Source organism: Homo sapiens, chromosome 7 (genome assembly GCF_000001405.40).
Source record: "Homo sapiens chromosome 7, GRCh38.p14 Primary Assembly".
Taxonomy (NCBI): domain Eukaryota; kingdom Metazoa; phylum Chordata; class Mammalia; order Primates; family Hominidae; genus Homo; species Homo sapiens.
This window is the reverse complement of record NC_000007.14, coordinates 66,856,463-66,874,227: the sequence shown is the minus strand read 5'-3', so window position 1 is coordinate 66,874,227 and position 17,765 is coordinate 66,856,463. Positions and strand designations below refer to the sequence as shown.

Below are 17,765 nucleotides of genomic sequence, written 5' to 3'. Positions count from 1 at the left end.
TGCCTGGCCTGGATTGCAACTATTTTAAGACCACATTCAGCACAAGTGGTTTTTTTTTTTTTTTTTTTTTTTTAATTTTTGAGACGGAGTCCCACTCTGTCATGTAGGCTGAGTGCAATGGCATGATCTCGGCTCAATGCAACCTCCACCTCCCGGTTCAAGCGATTCTCCTGCCTCAGCCTCTCAAGTAGTTGGAACTACAGGACCCGCCACAACGCCTGGCTAATTTTTTGTATTTTTAGTAGAGATGGGGTTTCACCATGTTGGCCAGGCTGGTCTCCAACTCCTGACCTCAGGTGATCCGCCCACCTCAGCCTCCCAAAGTGCTGGGGTGGCATGAGCCACCGCACCTGGCCACAAGTGCTATTTTATTAAATACTTCTGTGGTCCCCCTTCCCCAGACAAAAAGAACAAAGGAAAAAAGAAAGGGGAAGCCATTATTCAGGGCTGGTAAAGGGTTTATCTAGCTTTGTGGTGTAAAAGAACCTGTAATACTTAATAAATTTAATAATACTTAATATTTAATAAATTTAATAAATGTATTAATATTTAACAATATTTAATGGATTTAATAAATTTATTAATATTTAGCAATATTTAATAAAATCAATCCACTGTCTAGCCCTTACGTCAAAACACCAAGGACAACTAGGCCCTCCTACCTCCTCGTAGCTTCAACTAGATAAATGCAAACATGTTGGCTCACGCCTGTAATCCCAGCACTTTTTCTTTTTTTTTTTTGAGTTGGAGTCTCACTCTGTCACCCAGGCTGGAGTGCAGTGGTGTAATCCCAGTTCACTGCAACCTCCGCCTCCAGGTTCAAGCAATTCTCCTGCCTCAATCTCCTGAGTAGCTGGAACTGCAGACACATGCCGACACGCCTGGCTAATTTTTTGTATTTTTAGTAGAGACAGGGTTTCACCATGCTGCCCAGGCTGGTGTCGAACTCTGAGCTCAAGTGATCCACCTGCCTTGGCCTCCCAAAGTGGTGGGATTATAGGCATGAGCCACAGTATTTGGCAATCCCAGCCCTTTGGAAAGCCAAGGTAAGAAGATCAGTTGAGTTCAGGAGTTCGAGACCAGCCTGGACAACATGGGGGAGACACTGTCTCCACAAAAAAAAATAAAAAATTAGCTGGGCTTGGTGGCATATACTTGTGATCCCACACTTACTTGGGAGGCTGAGGTGGGAGGATCACTTGAGCCTAGAGGGTTGAGGCTGCAGTGAGCTACAACTGGGCCACTCAACTCCAGCCCAGAAAACAGGATGAGACCTTGTCTCTTAAAAAGATAGGCCAGGCATGGTGGCTCATGCCTGTAATCCCAGCACTTTGGGAGGCTGAGGCGGGCGGATCACGACCATCCTGGCTAACACAGTGAAACCCCATCTCTACTAAAAATACAAAAAATTAGCCAGGCGTGGTGGCGGGCATCTATAGTCCCAGCTACTCGGGAGGCTGAGGCAGGAGAATGGCATGAACCTGGGAGGTGGAGCTTGCGGTGGGCTGAGATCGCAACACTGCACTCCAGTCCGGGTGACAGAGCAAGACTCCATCTCAAAAAAAATAAATAAATAAAATAAAATAAAAAGATAAATGCAAATTTGAGTCACCTACAGAGTTAAAAGGCCACAAATGTTCCAATGTTAGCTGGGAGTCTAGGAGGGAAGAAGCCTCCACGTCTGCCCCAGTCAACCCAACTAAGAGAAAGAGGTTGGCAGCCAGAGGAACAGGTAAGGCAAGCCTTCATTTGAGACCATCAGCTTCTGCAGAAAAAACATTCCATGGTCATGGGATGACCTGACTGACTGATGCAAACTGTCCATACAGCTAGTTTATCTTTGCCTCCTCTCTAGAGCCAAAATGTATTGGAAATGAATGCCACATGAGACCTATCCCTGCCCTCCTCACCATACACGCTTTTTAGGAGAGCCCACACTAGCTGATGACTCTGGAATTCTGGTGACCATGATTCTGGATATGATGCCGCTCAGCTCTGTCTTTCCAACTACCTTTTAGACATCTCTACCTGGATGTCCTGAGCATCGTGTGTCCAAAGGTGAATTCCTTCTCTCTGGCAACGTGTGTTCTCTGTATCTCCACTTTCCCTGTCTCAATAAATGGCACTGCCATGCACCTAAGATACGTGAACCAGAAACCTGAAGGGCATCCTACAGTCCTCCTTCTGCCCTACTACTATTTCTATTCACCGTGTCAACAATAAGCTGTCCTGATATTTTATCTCCTAAATATCTCTCAAAACCTCACTTCCCTTTCATATTCACTGGCACTCCCTATTCAGCATCTCATCACTCATTCAACAGTATTTAACGAGTATAAAGCATTTATTCTGTTTTTAAACAGAATAAAAACAGTGTGATCTTTGTTTTCTGGTGGCTCAACAATTACTTATTTTTTTCTTTCTTTCTTTCTTTTTTTTTTCCTGAGATGGAGTGTTGCTCTGTTGCCCAGGCTGGAGTACAGTGGCGTCATCTCAGCTCACTGCAACTTCCGCCTCCCAGGTTCATGCCATTCTCCTGCCTCAGCCTCCCAAGTAGCTGGGATTACAGCTACGCACCACCACACCTGGTTAATTTTTGTATTTTTAGTAAAGACGGGATTTCACCATGGTGGCCAGGCTGGTCTCGAACTGCTGACCTCGTGATCCACCCACCTCACCCTCCCAAAGTGTTAGGATTACAGGCGTGAGCCATGTCTCTTATCATTCATTCCCTAAACCATACCTCCTCAAAATTTAAATTAGATCATTTAATTCAGGGGTCAGTACACTTTTTCTATACAAACCAGATAGTAAATATTTTAGGCTTCTGGGCCATATGTGCTCTGTTGAAACTACTCAAGTCTGCTCTTGTAACATTAAAAACAGCCATGGACAATATGTACATCCACGGGTGATACTGTGTTCCAATGTGGTTTAGTCATAAAAATAGGCACCAGGCCAGATTTGACCCATAGGCCGCAGTTTGCCAACACCTGATTTAATCACAATGCTTCTTACTCCATTGGAATTAATCCAGAATCCTTTCCATGGCCTAGAAGGTGCTCCATCCTCATCTGAGTATTACTTGCTCCTCCAGGCTCCACTATGCTCCAGCCACCCTGACCATCTTTATGGTGCTTAAACACCGTGCCAAGTCCGTTCACATCTCAGGTCTCTGCACTTGATGTCCTACCCATCACAAACCACTCTTGCCCAGATCTTCTTTGAGCTGCCTCACCTCAAATGTCACCTCCTCAGAGAGGTCTTCACTGCCCACCCCAATAGGTCAGTACCCATCCCAATGCTCAAACATTCTAACTCCCATAGCTCTATTTATTTTCATCAAATTACTTATCACCATCTGAAAAAATATAATTTGTGGCATGTATATAGTCTGCTTCCCCACCAGCATACCACCACTAGAACAGAAGCTCCCCGAGAACAGAGACTGTCTTACTCATTCTCCCCTAAGTTCCCAGCACCTAGATCTGTGCCTGGCACTTAGCAGGGGCTCAAAAAATATCTGTTATCTAAACTGTTATTGCCTCTAGTCTCACTCCCTCCAACTCACTGGTATCCTCACTACCACTAGTGATCTTTCAAAAATACAAATGGGGCCAAATACGGTGGCTCACGCCTGTAATCACAGCACCTTGGGAGACTGAAGTGAGAGGATCACGTGAACCCAGGAGGCTGCAGTGAGCCATGATCACACCACTGCACCCCAGCCTGGGATAGAGGGAGACCCTGACTCAAAAAAAAAAAAATTGTACTGTATGGTGGTGCACACCTATAGACCCTACTACTTGAGTGGCTGAGGCAAGAGGATCACTGAGCCCAGGAGTCTGAGGTTACAATGAGCTATGATCGCACCACTGCATTCAAGCCTGGGCAACAGAACAAGACTCTGTCTCAAAAACTAGAAAAAGTGGGCTAGTAACAGTGACTCATGCCTGTAATCCCAACACTCTGGGAGGCCGAGGTGGATGGATCACCTGACATCAGGAGTTCAAGACCAGCCTGGCCAGCATGGTGAATCCTCATCTCTACCAAAAATACAAAAATTAGCTAGGTGTGGTGGTGCATGCCTGTAATCCCAGATACTCAGGAGGCTGAGACAGGAGAATCACTTGAACTCGGAAGGCAGAGTTTACAGTAAGCTGAGATCCTGTCACTGCACTCCAGCCTGGGAGCCTGGGTGACACAGCGAGACTCCATCTCAAAAGAAAAAATAAAATACAAATGAATCATTGAATCATGTCACTCTCCTGCTTAAAGTATTTCCATGACTCCCCACTGGCTTTAAGATACAAATGCAAATTATGTGGCAAGATCACTACAGTTCTTATCGCACCTTCCCACACTCTCCCAGTAGTAGACTGTGAGCTCTAAGTGGCAAGGACCAACTCCTATTTATCTTTTTATCTCAAGTGGTCAGCACAGTACCAGGAACACTGTTGGTGTTCCATAAATGGAGAATGAAATCAATCAACATTAGTACAACAACTAGCACAATGCACAAATCTAATGCAGTAACTCAGTAAGTACCCAATTTAAAAGCAATGAAGCAAGATTTTGCACAACTCTTTCCTTTTTTTTTTTTCCCCCCACCGAGGCACAGTCTTGCTCTGTTGCCCAGGCTGGAGTACAGTGGCATGATCTCCACTCACTGAAACCTCCACCTCCTGGATTCAAGCAATTCTCCTGCCTCAGCCTCCCGAGTAGCTGGGATTATAGGCAAGCACCACCACATCTGGCTAATTTTTGTATTTTTAGTACAGATGGGGTTTCACCATGCTGGCAAGGCTGGTCTCGAACTCCCGACCTCGTGATCCACCTGCCTCAGCCTCCCAAAGTGCTGGGATTACAGGTGTGAGCCACCACACCCAGCCTCTTTCTTTTCTTTGGAAGTTACTTGGGTGGGGGCTATGTTTATAACTCTGAATCTGACTTTGGATTTTGTCACCAAGATTTTACCTGGCAGGCAGTCACTCACTACTTTCCATAAGAATGGAGGGGCCGGGCGCGGTGGCTCACACCTGTAATCCCAGCACTTGGGGAGGCCCAGGTGGGTGGATCACGAGGTCAGGAGATCGAGACCATCCTGGCTAACACAGTCAAACATCGTGAAACATCGTCTCTACTAAAAATATAAAAAATTAGCTGGGCGTGGTGGCGGGCGCCTGTAGTCCCAGCTACTGTGGAGGCTGAGCCAGGAGAATGGCGTGAACCCGGGAGGCAGAGGTTGCAGTGAGCCGAGATCGCGCCATGCACTCCAGCCTGGGTGACAGAACGAGACTCTGTCTCAAAAAAAAAAAAAAAAAAAAGAATGGAGGGAGGAGGCAGGGAGAGAAGTCATGCAAATCTATCATGCTGTTTCACACTGATCGACTTGTAAAAGGGTTAGGAAAGGAGACCTAACATGCAGCCTAAAATGCAACTTAGGGATTCTCCATAGATTCCAAGTGTCTACATTCTCCTTGTCATCTATTAGCAAAGAGAACACAATGCTGACTGTTTTGCTGTATAAAATAATCTAAGAGATTCAGGAAATTTCTTCAGAATGGTCTCACCAATAGAATGGGAATTGCTACTTTTGGAAGAATTTCCATTAGCCCTTTGAAATCCTTCAACATTCATTAAGGCCAAAGAGTTCTCACCTAATTTAATCTGATGGGTATGTGAACAGAGTCTTTCTAGGGAATACAGACTCCCAAATTGTTCAGCTGGGAAGTAAGGAGGGAAGTTATTACTCAAAATCAAAGGGAAATGAAAAGAGGCCAACCTAGAATGTCGTTATTCTTTCTTGGGTTGGGGAAATGGGTTCCAGAGTCACTCTGTGACCTTTATTACATGACCTTCTTATTAGCATCTAAAAGCTACCAGTGTTGAATGCAGCCAGCCAGGTTCTCTTCTAATGTAATAAAATCTGCTTCCACAAAGCTTATGTGGAGCCATCTCCAGACTCCAGAAATAATAGGCTATAAATTACTGGATCTCCCGTTTGATATAATGAAGTATAAGCACAGTCCTGAATGACCCCTCTACATACTACTCTGAGTGGCTTGAAGTGAATTTGACACAAGAACTGGAGTGAGCACAAAGCAGAGCTAGATCCAGGATTAATGCACTTGAGCCCACTCCTCACTACTCAACTATAAGCCCAGTTCCAGAACCCAAGAAGTGGGTGGGAAACAAGGCTCCTGGCTTTTTCCCTAGTGTCTACATCTCTTTCACATTTCTTATCTCCTTGCAAAGAAACTAAACAGGTTCAACTAGAATAATTAAATGATTAAACCCTATACAGAGAATCTCCAGAGATTCACAAAACTTCACTCAAGATTGTTACACAGACAACCCTGACGATGACTTGATGCACCAGTGATCTACAATATTTGGGATCATTCCAAATTCCCATCAAGGATCCGCCTGTATCAACATGGGAGCCAAGGACCAACCATTCAAATGGGCCCTGCTGCCCAGCCTTTTTTATAATGCCATCTCTTCATATTGTTCCATTTAACAAAACTGCTGCCCATCATCTATCCTTAAGTCCCTTTGCCAATCAATGGTACAGAGCCAGAGTATGCTCCTCCCTAGCAGGAAATCAACAGGATGACCTGCTAAACAGCATTCAGAAAATGCTGAGACCCATGAATTACAATAGGAAAGAAAAGACAGAGAATTAGTCAGCCAGGTACATGCTGTGCCAAAAAATGCACTACAACCCCCACCCAATTCTGCCTAATCCTAGCTGGGATGATAGCAACCTGATGGACAGGCCTATAAGATCTCAAACTAAAACAGGAACTTCTGAACTGGGTTCTTTAGAACCCAGGAAGCAGCAGTAAATCATTAAAGAACAGATTAAGATCTTGAGGAGGTGAGGGAGGGTTTCAGATAAATGGAATGCTGGTAGAACACAGGGCCCAAAGGAGCAAAAGTTAACTAAGCCCAGGTAGAACCTTGTTTACTGAAGTATTAGGCAACTAATACTCTACAAGGTAACTTGTTTATTAGAGTATTAGAATAGGGGCAACTATTCTAACCGGAGAAATTGGCTCCAGTGAGGGTGGGGTGGCAATCCAAGGTACGACATGCATAGGGCTGGCAAAATTCAGGGTGACTGGAGCAAAAGCTTCAGAACTAGAAAGACCGCATCTGGGGTAGAGCACAAAACTCTCAGGAGATGAGTCTTTGTAAGAGTGAGGCAGAACTACTTGGCACTTTTAGGAGATCTGCTGATGCCCAGCAAGAGCATACTGGCTGTAAGAAGGGATGCAGGCGAGGAGGTTCACAAAAGTGATTCAGTCCAAGAGCCCAAACTGTGTTCTCTACTAAAAGGAATCAAGGCCCCCTAGAGAAATGGCTGACTCCATGCATAGTGCAGTATACAGATCCTGGAACATCTTTTTTGTCAGAAAGCAAGGAAGCCAACAAAGTCCAACAGGATCATATCAAGAAGACATGAGAGTCAACTTGAAGGGATAATTATTAACCTAGATAAGACAATGTAAGCAGTAAGCATCCAAAACAATTAATAAATAATGACTGCAATGGCCTGAAATACATCAAATGCAAACAATAATCTATGAGTTCATGACGATATTTAGAAAAAAAAAAACTATTGGTCACTAAAGTGTATAAGTTACCAGGTCACTGACTCATTATTTTGAAAAGTGACTTAAAATGGGAGGTGGGGTGGAGAATTAGGTATTTATCCAGTTTTTCCTGTACAAACATAAATGTTTAGGGAGACTGAAACAGATGAAACAAGTCTGGCAAAATGGAGACAACTGCTTAATCTGGGGGTTGGGTACATGGAGGTTCATTTATTTCTTTTGGGTATATTCGAACCCCCTCCAAAAAAAGCACAAGACAGAATGTGAGCTAAGCAGCTTAGGGTTTAGGCAAGGTTTCTGCCTACAAGAGACACTAAGATATGAGGGGTAGTTTTAGCCCTGATGGGCTGAGCCAACTGGAGGTATATAGGGAGGTACTAAATTGCAGTGGTATCATGTTGCCCAGCAGTTCATCTAGAATTCTACATCCTAGGTCTGCTTGGTAGCAGGTTTCCTAGGTGGTGGATCTGAGGCGATCGATCTATAGAACTTCCTGTGCAGTCATAATTGGCTTGGAAACTACAAAAGGGCTTGCTCTTGAAAATGGAGCCTGTCTTTGTCCATTTCATGCTACTATAAAAGAATGCCACACACTGCATAACTTGGAAGGGAGGGGAGAGGAGGGGAGGGGAAGGGAGGGGAGAGGAGGGGAGGGGAAGGGAGGGGAGGGAAAGTGAGGGGAGGGAAGGGAGGAGGTAAAGGGAGGGAGGGAGGGGAAGGGAGGGAGGGAGGGAGGAAGGGAGGGAGGGAAAGGGAAGGGAAAAAGGAAAAGGGAAGGGGATGGGAAGGGGAAGAGAAAAAGAAGGGAGGGGCAAAAGGAAGGGGAAGGGAAGGAGAACAGGAAGGGAAGGGAAAAAAGGGAAGAGAAGGGAAGGGGAAAGGAAGGGAAGGGGAAGAAAAAGGGAAGGGAAAGAAAAGGGAAAGGGAAGGGAAGGGAAGAGGAAGGGAAGGGGAAGGGGAAGAGAAGGTGAAGGGAAGAAAAGGGGAAAAGGAAGGGGAAGGGGAAGGGCAGGGTAGGGGAAGGGGAAGAGAAGGGGAAGGGAAGAAAAAGGGAAGGGAAAGGGAAGGGAAGGGGAATGGAAGAGAAAAAATATATTTCTTACAGTTCTGGAGGCTAGGAAGTCCAAGTTTGAGGGGCCTGCATCTGGTGAGGGTCTTTTTGCTGCATCTTCCCATGGCAGAAGGCAGAAGGACAAGAGAGTGCGAGAAAGCAAGAGGGCAAGAGGGGCTGAACTCTCTTTTACAATAAGCCCACTCTTGTGTTACTAATCTATTACCACAATAACAACTTTAATTCATTCATGAGGGCTGTCTTATTAGGCCCCACATCTCAACTGTTGCATTGAGGATTGAGTTTCCAGCACATAAACTTTGGGGGACACATTTAAACCATAGCAGAGCCTTTATGTAAATTCAACCAAGAGGAGATTGGAAAATCAAAGACATGAGAAAGACAGCAAGGGTGAGCAGAGAAGTATGTGCAGGTTAAGGGAAAAAGTCACAATGAATCCTCTAGTGCAGACTACTTTATCAAAAGCACCTAAAAAAGATCTCATTAACTCCCCCAACTCACCTCCACCCACATCTAAAAAGCCACACACAGCACCACCAAAGGCAGCACAATGAGAACTGCATTCTCCTCAACAGATAGGCTGTGAGTATCCAGACAGACACCCGACCTCAACAGCTCCAGAACAGCCCCAAGACAGCTCCTCCCTAACCACCACTCAAGTAACCAGCTGAAAAAGTATTCAGAAAACCTGCATCCTGACACATCACTACCAAACAACTTAAACAGCAAAGAACAACCCATTTAAACAGCAATGCCAGCTGCCAGGAAAAGTAAGGAAAATAAGTAGAGGAAAAGCAGACTCCTTGAGGTCCGCCAAGACCCAGTCTCTCAGCATCAGCATTTTCCAATGTAGAATCCATACACCCCTGGGGCCTGCGGAGCTCCACGAGGGATGCTGTCCTCAAAGATAAATGAGCAGGCAAGCTGGCCAGAAAACCACTCAGGGTATTACTCTTTAAAATGTCTTTATAGACTCAAACAGGAATGAGACTACAGGATATGTGTATTCCCAACAGATTCTGAGAATGATGTCACTATCCCTTTCAAGATGTGTTTAACACTTTGCGGTCACTTATAGTCCTGCCACTGAGTGCCAGTGCTTTCTAATTTGAACTCATTCCAGCTCACGCTGACCCTAGCTCCCTGGAACTGGTTACCATTAGCCAAGACTATCATCCATCCTTCCAAAGAGTCCGAAAAACAGCTCTTCACCTACTCAACCAAGACAAGTGAAAATGTATGCCAAAGAAATGGGGAAAAAAGATTCAGAGAGAGAATACAATTAACATACTACCAAGAGAGCAAAAAGTGAAGGGAGAGGAAAAACTAGGAAAATCATGTGTGGGCTCACACCTATTTCCAAAGCTGGGCTAATATCCTTTTGCTTGTGTCTAAATGAGGCACCAACTTTAAACTGCTACTAGAAAAAAAAAAAAAAAGAGAAAGAAAGAGAGAAAGAAAGAAGCAGGCCTAGGCCGGGCCCAATGGCTCATGCCTGTAATCCCAGCACTTTGGGAGGCCGAGGCGGGTGGATCACCCAAGGTCAGGAGTTGGAGACCAGCCTGGCCAACATGGTGAAACATCATCTCTACTAAAAAATTTTTAAAAATAGCCAGACATGGTGATGCATGCCTGTAATCTCAGCTACTTGGGAAGTTGAGGTAGAATTGCTTGAACCCGGTAGGCGGAGGTTACAGTGAGCCGAGGTAGTGCCACTGCACTCCAGCCTGGGCAACAAGAGTGAAACTTCATTTCAAAAAAAAAAAAGTAGGCCCAAATCTTAAAGTAAAACTTATTGTCTAACAAGAGTTGGTGAGAATTCCATTCCCTGGTTACTTACCCCATAGGCTGAAGAGCTGCCTCTGCCTCTAAGGATCAGGGCATTCTGTGTTTGATGGCAGAACCTATGTTCGAATGCAGCACAATCCCTGACAAGTGAGAAGAACATCAGGGTGAGTTATCCTGACCTTAAGATTGCTTCTCTAGCTCTTTCATTTAAAAAAATATATAAGAACCAAGAAGGAGATCCCCTCTTGCCACCTCAGTTCTTTGAACTCAGCTACTCAAGGTCCATTTTGTCAAGATCAAGGGCTCCCATGAGTGACTGTGAGGCAGATATGATCACTCAGAGGGCAAAAGGTAACCTTATAAAACCTGAAGACGTGAAAGGAGAACGTAGCTGCTGCTCAGAAACTCCACTAGCCCATCTTGAAAAGAAATCATCTACAAACAGTAATTCCCAGTTTCCAATTCTAGGCCTTATAGTTTTGTTGAGTGTCCCTAAACTTTTGTTTTTTTGTTTTGTTTTGTTTGTTTTTGGAGACAGAGTCTTGCTCTATCCCCCAGGCTAGAGTGTAGTGATGCAATCTCGGCTCACTGCAACCTCCACCTCCTGGGTTCAAGCGATTCTCATGCCTCAGCCTCCCAAGTAGTTGGGATTACAGGTACACATCACCACACCCAGATGATTTTTGCATTTTTAGTAGAGATGGGGTTTCTACATGTTGGCCAGACTGGTATGAACTCCTGACCTCAGGTGATCCACCTGACTCAGCCTCCCAAAGGGATTACAGGCATGAGCCACCACATCTGGCCTTCTGCTCTTTCTTATTTTGCCCACCTAATGTAAGAAAACTAAGCTAAAATAAATTTTGTAACCAAACCAAAAGGAAGCTCTCTGGGAGGTATGGCTACTATACTCAGAGACCTGAACTATCCTTGACCTAAAAATGGCTATCTGGAAGTCAGCATCCTCAGAGTACATTTCAGATGCAAACTAGAACACATCAGTGTAAACTAAGAAAGTCCAGAGCCTTTGCTTGAGTAAACCTAGATGCAGCAAACCCATGGGCTTCATGCATGATTGCTATTGTAAGACAAGCCACAGGGAGAATTAAATATGACACCTTCGGCTGGGCGCAGTGGCTCATGCCTGTAATCCCACCACTGTGGGAGGCCAAGGCGGGCAGATCACCTTAGGTCAGGAGTTCGAGACCAGCACGGCCAACATGGTGAAACCCTGTCTCTACTAAAAATGCAAAAATTAGCCTGGCGTGGTGGTAGGCGCCTATGATCCCAGCTACTTGGGAGGCTGAGGCAGGAGAATCGTTGAAGTTCAAGTGAATCAGGAGAATCACTTGAACTCAGGAGGCAGAGGTTCCAGTGAACCAAGATCACACTACTGCACTCCAGCCTGGGTGACAACAAAACTCCGTCTCAAAAAATATATATATATGTGTGTGTGTGTGTGTGTGTGTATATGTGTGCGTATATATGTGTGTGTATACATATATACACACATGCACACATATACACACACATATATATACACACACATATATATACACATATATATATATATATAACACCTTCTTGACCTATGATCAAAGTTCCTTCTAAACTCAATTTGGGGCACCATATATCACAAACCAGATGGCAAGAAATTAGATAAATTTTAGTTGTTTTCATGCCATCCCAATCACATCTTAATCAGTTCACAAACATGTTTCAGCAAATGCTGGAGGAGTTTTTCTCTCTTTAGGAGTCCTCTCTCACTTTACCCTGCTTAATAAAAGACCTCACACACTTACAAACAGGATAGAGACAGGCCAGCTTCAGGACATGCTGCATGGGGAGAACTGACTGTCCCAAAAAGAGAGGGCTCTACACCCCTCTGAACTCCACAATAGACCGGCTACACACAAATGCCTGAAGTAAGGCAGTCCCCTCAGGAAAATGAACAGTTGGCAAGATCAAGACTTCTGGCCCAAAGGGCCTGCAGCTGGTCTGACCATTCATCAAAAAATCTGAATTTAAATGGAGATATATTGGACTGTCACATGCAATAAAAGAACTGAAGCAGCAAATGGTCTTGATTTGGGTTTCCTTCCACCCTACACGGCTCCAGCAAACAGAGGAGTGAGTATGCCTGCGGTGCTCCTGACACATCTAGGGTAGTTCCTATTCACAGTGGTCAACCTTTGGGATTTTCCACACATCGCAGGGTCATTGTCGATGCCCCTGGGTAAAGTGTAGTAGCCTCAACCTCCTGGGCTCAGGCAATCCTCCTACCTCAGCCTCCTAAGTAGCTGAGACTACAGGTACATGCCACCATACCTGGCTAATTGCTAAATTTTTTTGCAGAAATGGGGTCTCACTCTGTTGCCCAGGCTGGTCTCAAACTCCTGGCCTGAAGCCATCTTCCTGCCTCAGCCTCTCAAAGTGCTGGAATTCCAGGCATGAGCCATTGTGCCCGGTCAAGTTTAGCTGATTCTTTTACCATGCTCAATTTCCAAAAAACACAGGAGGGCAGAGGTGGGGCCTCTCATGCAGATCCTCCTTCTCAGGCGTCATCTCCTAGTGACATCCTCCTTCTCAGGTGTCATGAATCTTAGTAACATTATGGTGGCATCGCTAATGATAAACAATTTTCACCACCTGATCTATTTTATTACATCACTTGGAAACATAATGACTTAAAGAGTGGGAAAGATTATTTAGTTTATGGATCACTGGCTGATTTACAGTCAGATATAAGGAGAGATAAAATATCACAAAAAATGCTGATGAGAAGAAACTTAACATTTTGACTTTGTTCAATACATTAAGTTCTTAGAGACGTAAAATAGGATAAGTAGTTCAAAAACTAAGTACACAAATTCTGCAAATAACATACAATTAGTGACCTAAGTTTGTAGTTGCCAACTGAGTAGCACCTAGAAGCTGGTCTCTGAAGACTCAGTGAGTGCCATGCACCCCGCTTCAAATCCATAGGGAGGGCAGGACTCCTAACCCAGGAGACTTGGCTTCTGTGCACTAAAACTCAAAGGGTCTGTTTCAGGAGAAGATGAGGGCCCCAGGGTCATGGGAACATGGATCCCCACTGCAGCCTTCCTTGCTCAGGACAGCTTGCGGCCCTTCCAGATGTGGTGCCTGCAGTCCCTCCTGCGCCCTTAAGTGTCACAATGCATGCTACATGGCCAAAAGCCACAGACATTTCTGCCAGCTTAGAGAACAGTTTATTGCCATGGATTCACTCTGTGAGTATTTGTTGAGCACCTGCTTGAGAAGTAAACAGGACAGGCATGATCTGCGCTGTCAGCACTACTGTACTACAGTGGGAGGAAAAAGTCAGCCAGCAGGGCTTTGTGAAAAATGAAAGGAGGATGAGTCAGTGAGCCTCACAGCTGAGGTGAGACGGTGCTCAGTGAAGACCTCTCCAACATGGTGACATTTAAACTGTGACACAAATAGAAATGAGAGGCACAGAAAGCCCTCAAGTAAGAGCATTCCACAAACACCAGGCCTCAGCCCGACAGCGCCAGGAGGCTGTGACCTGAGAGGAAGAAAGGCACACAAATGACCATGGTGGCTGGCACAGAGCAAGTGATCCACAGAGGGGATGCAGGAAAGCAGAGAAATGGCAGGAAGCAGCTCCCCCACGCCCCTGCAGAACCCATCAGGGGCTGTGAGGTTTACTCCAAGTATAGTGAAAGCCACTACAGATGACAGTCCAGAGAATGACAGGCTCCACCTCCTACTTTCAATGAACTGACCTGGCTGCGCTGTGGCATGACTCCCACTGAGAGCTGGAGGGCAGTGAAGGAGGATGGGGTAGGATCTGAGCTTTCTGTTCAGGGCGGAGTCAGGAGGCCTTGCTAGGCTGGATGTGGGAAGGCAGGAAATCACACCTCAGCGTAACTCCTGGGCATCTGGCTTGGGCAGCTGGTAGACCCTGAGAGGAGCTCCTGAAAAGGGGAATGGAGACTCTGCCTGGGACACATGAGGTCTGAGGAGGAATCAAACAGGTAGGCAAATACAAAGGTCTAGTACGAGGGGCATCTTCAGGGCCAGAAATGAGAGTCTCAATGACACAGACAATATAATATTTTTAAGAAGTGGGCAGGGTGGGATTGTCTGTAAAGAAGACACAGTAAGAAAAAAGAAAGAGGGCTCAGGGTGAAGCTGCTGGCTGGCACTCCCCAGTGTAGAGAGGATAAGGGCAGGGGCCTCAAGAGACTGAAAATGAGACAGGGAGGAGCCAAGCAAGAGCCCACAAGGTTTGAAAATTTCCATAAAAATAGTTTTTAAAAGAGTATTGGGGAGCAGGTGACAACAACCTAGAATTCTGCTGAGAAGCAGAATAAAAGTGGGGCAGACAGTGACTTTGGGAGGCAAAAGATGTTGTAGGAAATATCAAAACTAAGTATTTGAGGTGTTGATGAAGTGTCTAAGGAGCAAGACAGAAAAGAGAGCTTCGCTGAGGCTTCATCTTCAAATGCAGTGGTGGCTGCTGTCAAAGCTCTCTCTGTTACCGCAGAGCGGCACCCAGGCACAAGTACAGCCCAATAAAAAGGATTCCCAACAGTCTCACTCTTCGTGCATAAAACCCTTGACTGTACAGAAAAATGTACTCAGTAAAAAGCATATGGGTTTCCATTACCTGACTCTCTCTCCTGTTATGACTAAAACTTTAATAATGAGTGCACATTAAAAACAGTAAGACGGCCGGGCATGGCAGCTCACGACTATAATCCCACCACTTCAGTGGGTCGAGGCAGGTGGATCACCTGAGATCAGGAGTTCGAGACTAGCCTGACCAACGTGGTGAAACCCCATCTCTACTAAAAATACAAAAATTAGGCAGGCCTGGTGGCAGCTGCCTGTAATCCCAGCTACTTGGGAGGCTGAGCCAGGGAGAATTGCTCGAACCTGGGAGAAAGAGGTTGCAGTGAGCTGAGATGATGCCAGTGCACTCCAGTGTGGGTGACAGAGCAAGACTCCATCTCAAAAACAAACAAACAAACAAACAAAAAAACAGAAGGTGCCATTTGCTATGGGGAGACTAGGGATATGATCTTGCTGCAATCCTTCCATTTTAGTAAATCTAAAGAGTGTAATTCCATTCTGTTTTGTCCCCACTCCACTCCAGAGCCAAAACTAGTAAGAAAATCAATTCTATTTCTATTTCTTTCAAAACACATCTAACAATAAGAGATGATATGCACAGCTCCATACTATAAAAGAAAAACTTATGTCCTGGGTATCATAGACATTTGATGAATGTTTGTTCAGGTGACTGGTGTAGACTTCAATAATAACCCGTTCAATGCATTATGCCAGATAAAATCTTGCATCTCAAAAGTAGGACAAACATTGTTCTTTTAGTTCTGTCTACCCATAAATGCAATATTTACATGTATTTATAATGGGTTAATAAAAAGAAAATGAGTTTACTGTTCTAGAGAGTATTAGAATTTTGAAAATATGAATTCTCCTGTCCTAGCACATAATTGTTAGAGGCATATTATTTAATATGGAAGGCATCATTAAAAAATGTTAAGCATTAGGTAATTATTGCACATAATCTTTTAATCTGACTTAAGACTGAATGCCTACCTCCTGAAGCTGGTTTGTCAAGCTGTAAATCTTCATGTGTTGAATTCATAAGTTCATGTCTGAAAGGTAAGAATAAATACTTAATATTCACTAGGCAATATTCAGCAAAGTAATATCCACTAGTACATATTTCACATTTAATCACCAAGGGTGGTTTTGAAAAGACAAGGCAGGCTGGGCATGGTGGCTTATGCCTGAAATCCCAACACTTTGGAAGGCAGAGGCAGGCAGATCACGAGGTCAGCAGTTTGAGACAAGCCTGGCCAACATGGTGGCACCCCATCTGTACTAAAATCACAAAACTCAGCTGGGCGTGGTGGTAGGTGCCTGTAATCCCAGCTACTCAGGAGGCTGAGACAGGATAATTGCCCGAACCCAGGAGGTGGAAGTTGCAGTGAGTCGAAATCATGCCACTGCACTCCAGCCTGGGTAATAGAAAGAGACTCCATCTTGGAAAAAAAAAAAATTAAGAAAAGACAATCTGGATGATTGAGCACAACTAAATCTTCATTTGAGGTTTCTACAGAGTAACGAAACAAAATAATATTGTAAATTGTCTCATAAGCTGCTTCATGGAGCATGTGTTCTCACAAGTAAAGTGGTAACTCTGCAACCCACAGGTCTTTGAAGCATATTACAAAAATCTTAAATGGGATCCTTTAATATCACATTGCATTCAAGACTATCTTCCTCTACACAACTAGAAAAACAATCATATATTCCCACATATGCCACAAAAATCTCAGGCCTAAAAACAAGACACGGATACTATTTTCTTTAGCAAAAGTAGCAGAAAACTGTGAAAGAAAATGTCAGTTGCATGCTAGTCAGGTGTGGGCAGTGTTCATGTTTCAAAAGCTAACACTGGCACGACTGACTCAATGTTGGACCCAGATATATTAAAAAGTGGAAGATAAAAATACTTAAAATAGGCCGGGTGCAGTGGCTCACATCTGTAATCCCAGCACATTGGGAGGCTGAGGTAGGTGGATCACCTGAGGTCAGGAGTTTGAGACCTGACCAACATGGAGAAACCCTGTCTCTAGTAAAAATACAAAATTACCTGGGCTTGGTGGGACATGCCTGTAATCCCAGCTACTCAGGAGGCTGAGGCAGAATCACTTGAACCTGGGAGGCAGAGGTTGCAGTGAGCCGAGATCACACCATTGCACTTTAGCCTGGGCAACCAGAGAGAAACTCCATCAAAAAAAAAAAAAACCCCATAATATAAGTCAAACTTAAGTAAATATAACCGTAGTGGTAAATATTTGTCAACAATAAAAAAGATGTATTACTCACAAGAGAGATAAGAGTCAAATAAGAATCCAGGAGTCTTACTTTTTAATCACAAAACAAATCCTTTCCATTGCAAGTAATATCCTCTCAAAGCCAGGAATTCTGTAAGTGGATAGCCTTCCTAAAAAAATTTCTGGTGGGGCAAAGTGGCTCATGCCTGAATCCCAGCAATTTGGGAGGCCAAGGCGGGTGGATGATGAAGTCAGGATTACCAGACAAGCCTGGCTAACATAGTGAAACCCTGTCTTGGCCAGGCACGGTGGCTCACACCTGTAATCCCAGCACTTTGGGAGGCTGAGGCAGGTGGATCACGAGGTCAAGAGATCGAGACCATCCTGGCTAACACGGTGAAACCCCATGTCTACTAAAAGTACAAA

General features: G+C 44.7%; 1 pseudogene across 1 annotated transcript in view, besides 1 other annotated feature; it reads right to left on the bottom strand.

Moving 5' to 3' along the window:
* The window catches only part of GTF2IP23 (general transcription factor IIi pseudogene 23), a 36,824-nt pseudogene that overhangs the window by 10,046 nt on the left and 9,013 nt on the right, over nucleotides 1-17,765 (bottom strand). Inside the window, exons 3-4 of the transcript NR_135738.1 lie at nucleotides 16,093-16,151; nucleotides 10,535-10,622 (exon numbers count right to left, since the gene is read on the bottom strand). The product of NR_135738.1 is annotated as a general transcription factor IIi pseudogene 23 (transcript). The remainder of the gene's footprint in view (nucleotides 1-10,534; nucleotides 10,623-16,092; nucleotides 16,152-17,765) is intronic.
* Nucleotides 14,184-14,243: an enhancer, noted in NCBI's record as "active region_26090". NCBI's record gives its function as "activates an Ori minimal core promoter by ATAC-STARR-seq in GM12878 lymphoblastoid cells {active_cell/tissue: GM12878}" and the evidence as "EXISTENCE:reporter gene assay evidence [ECO:0000049][PMID:35858748]".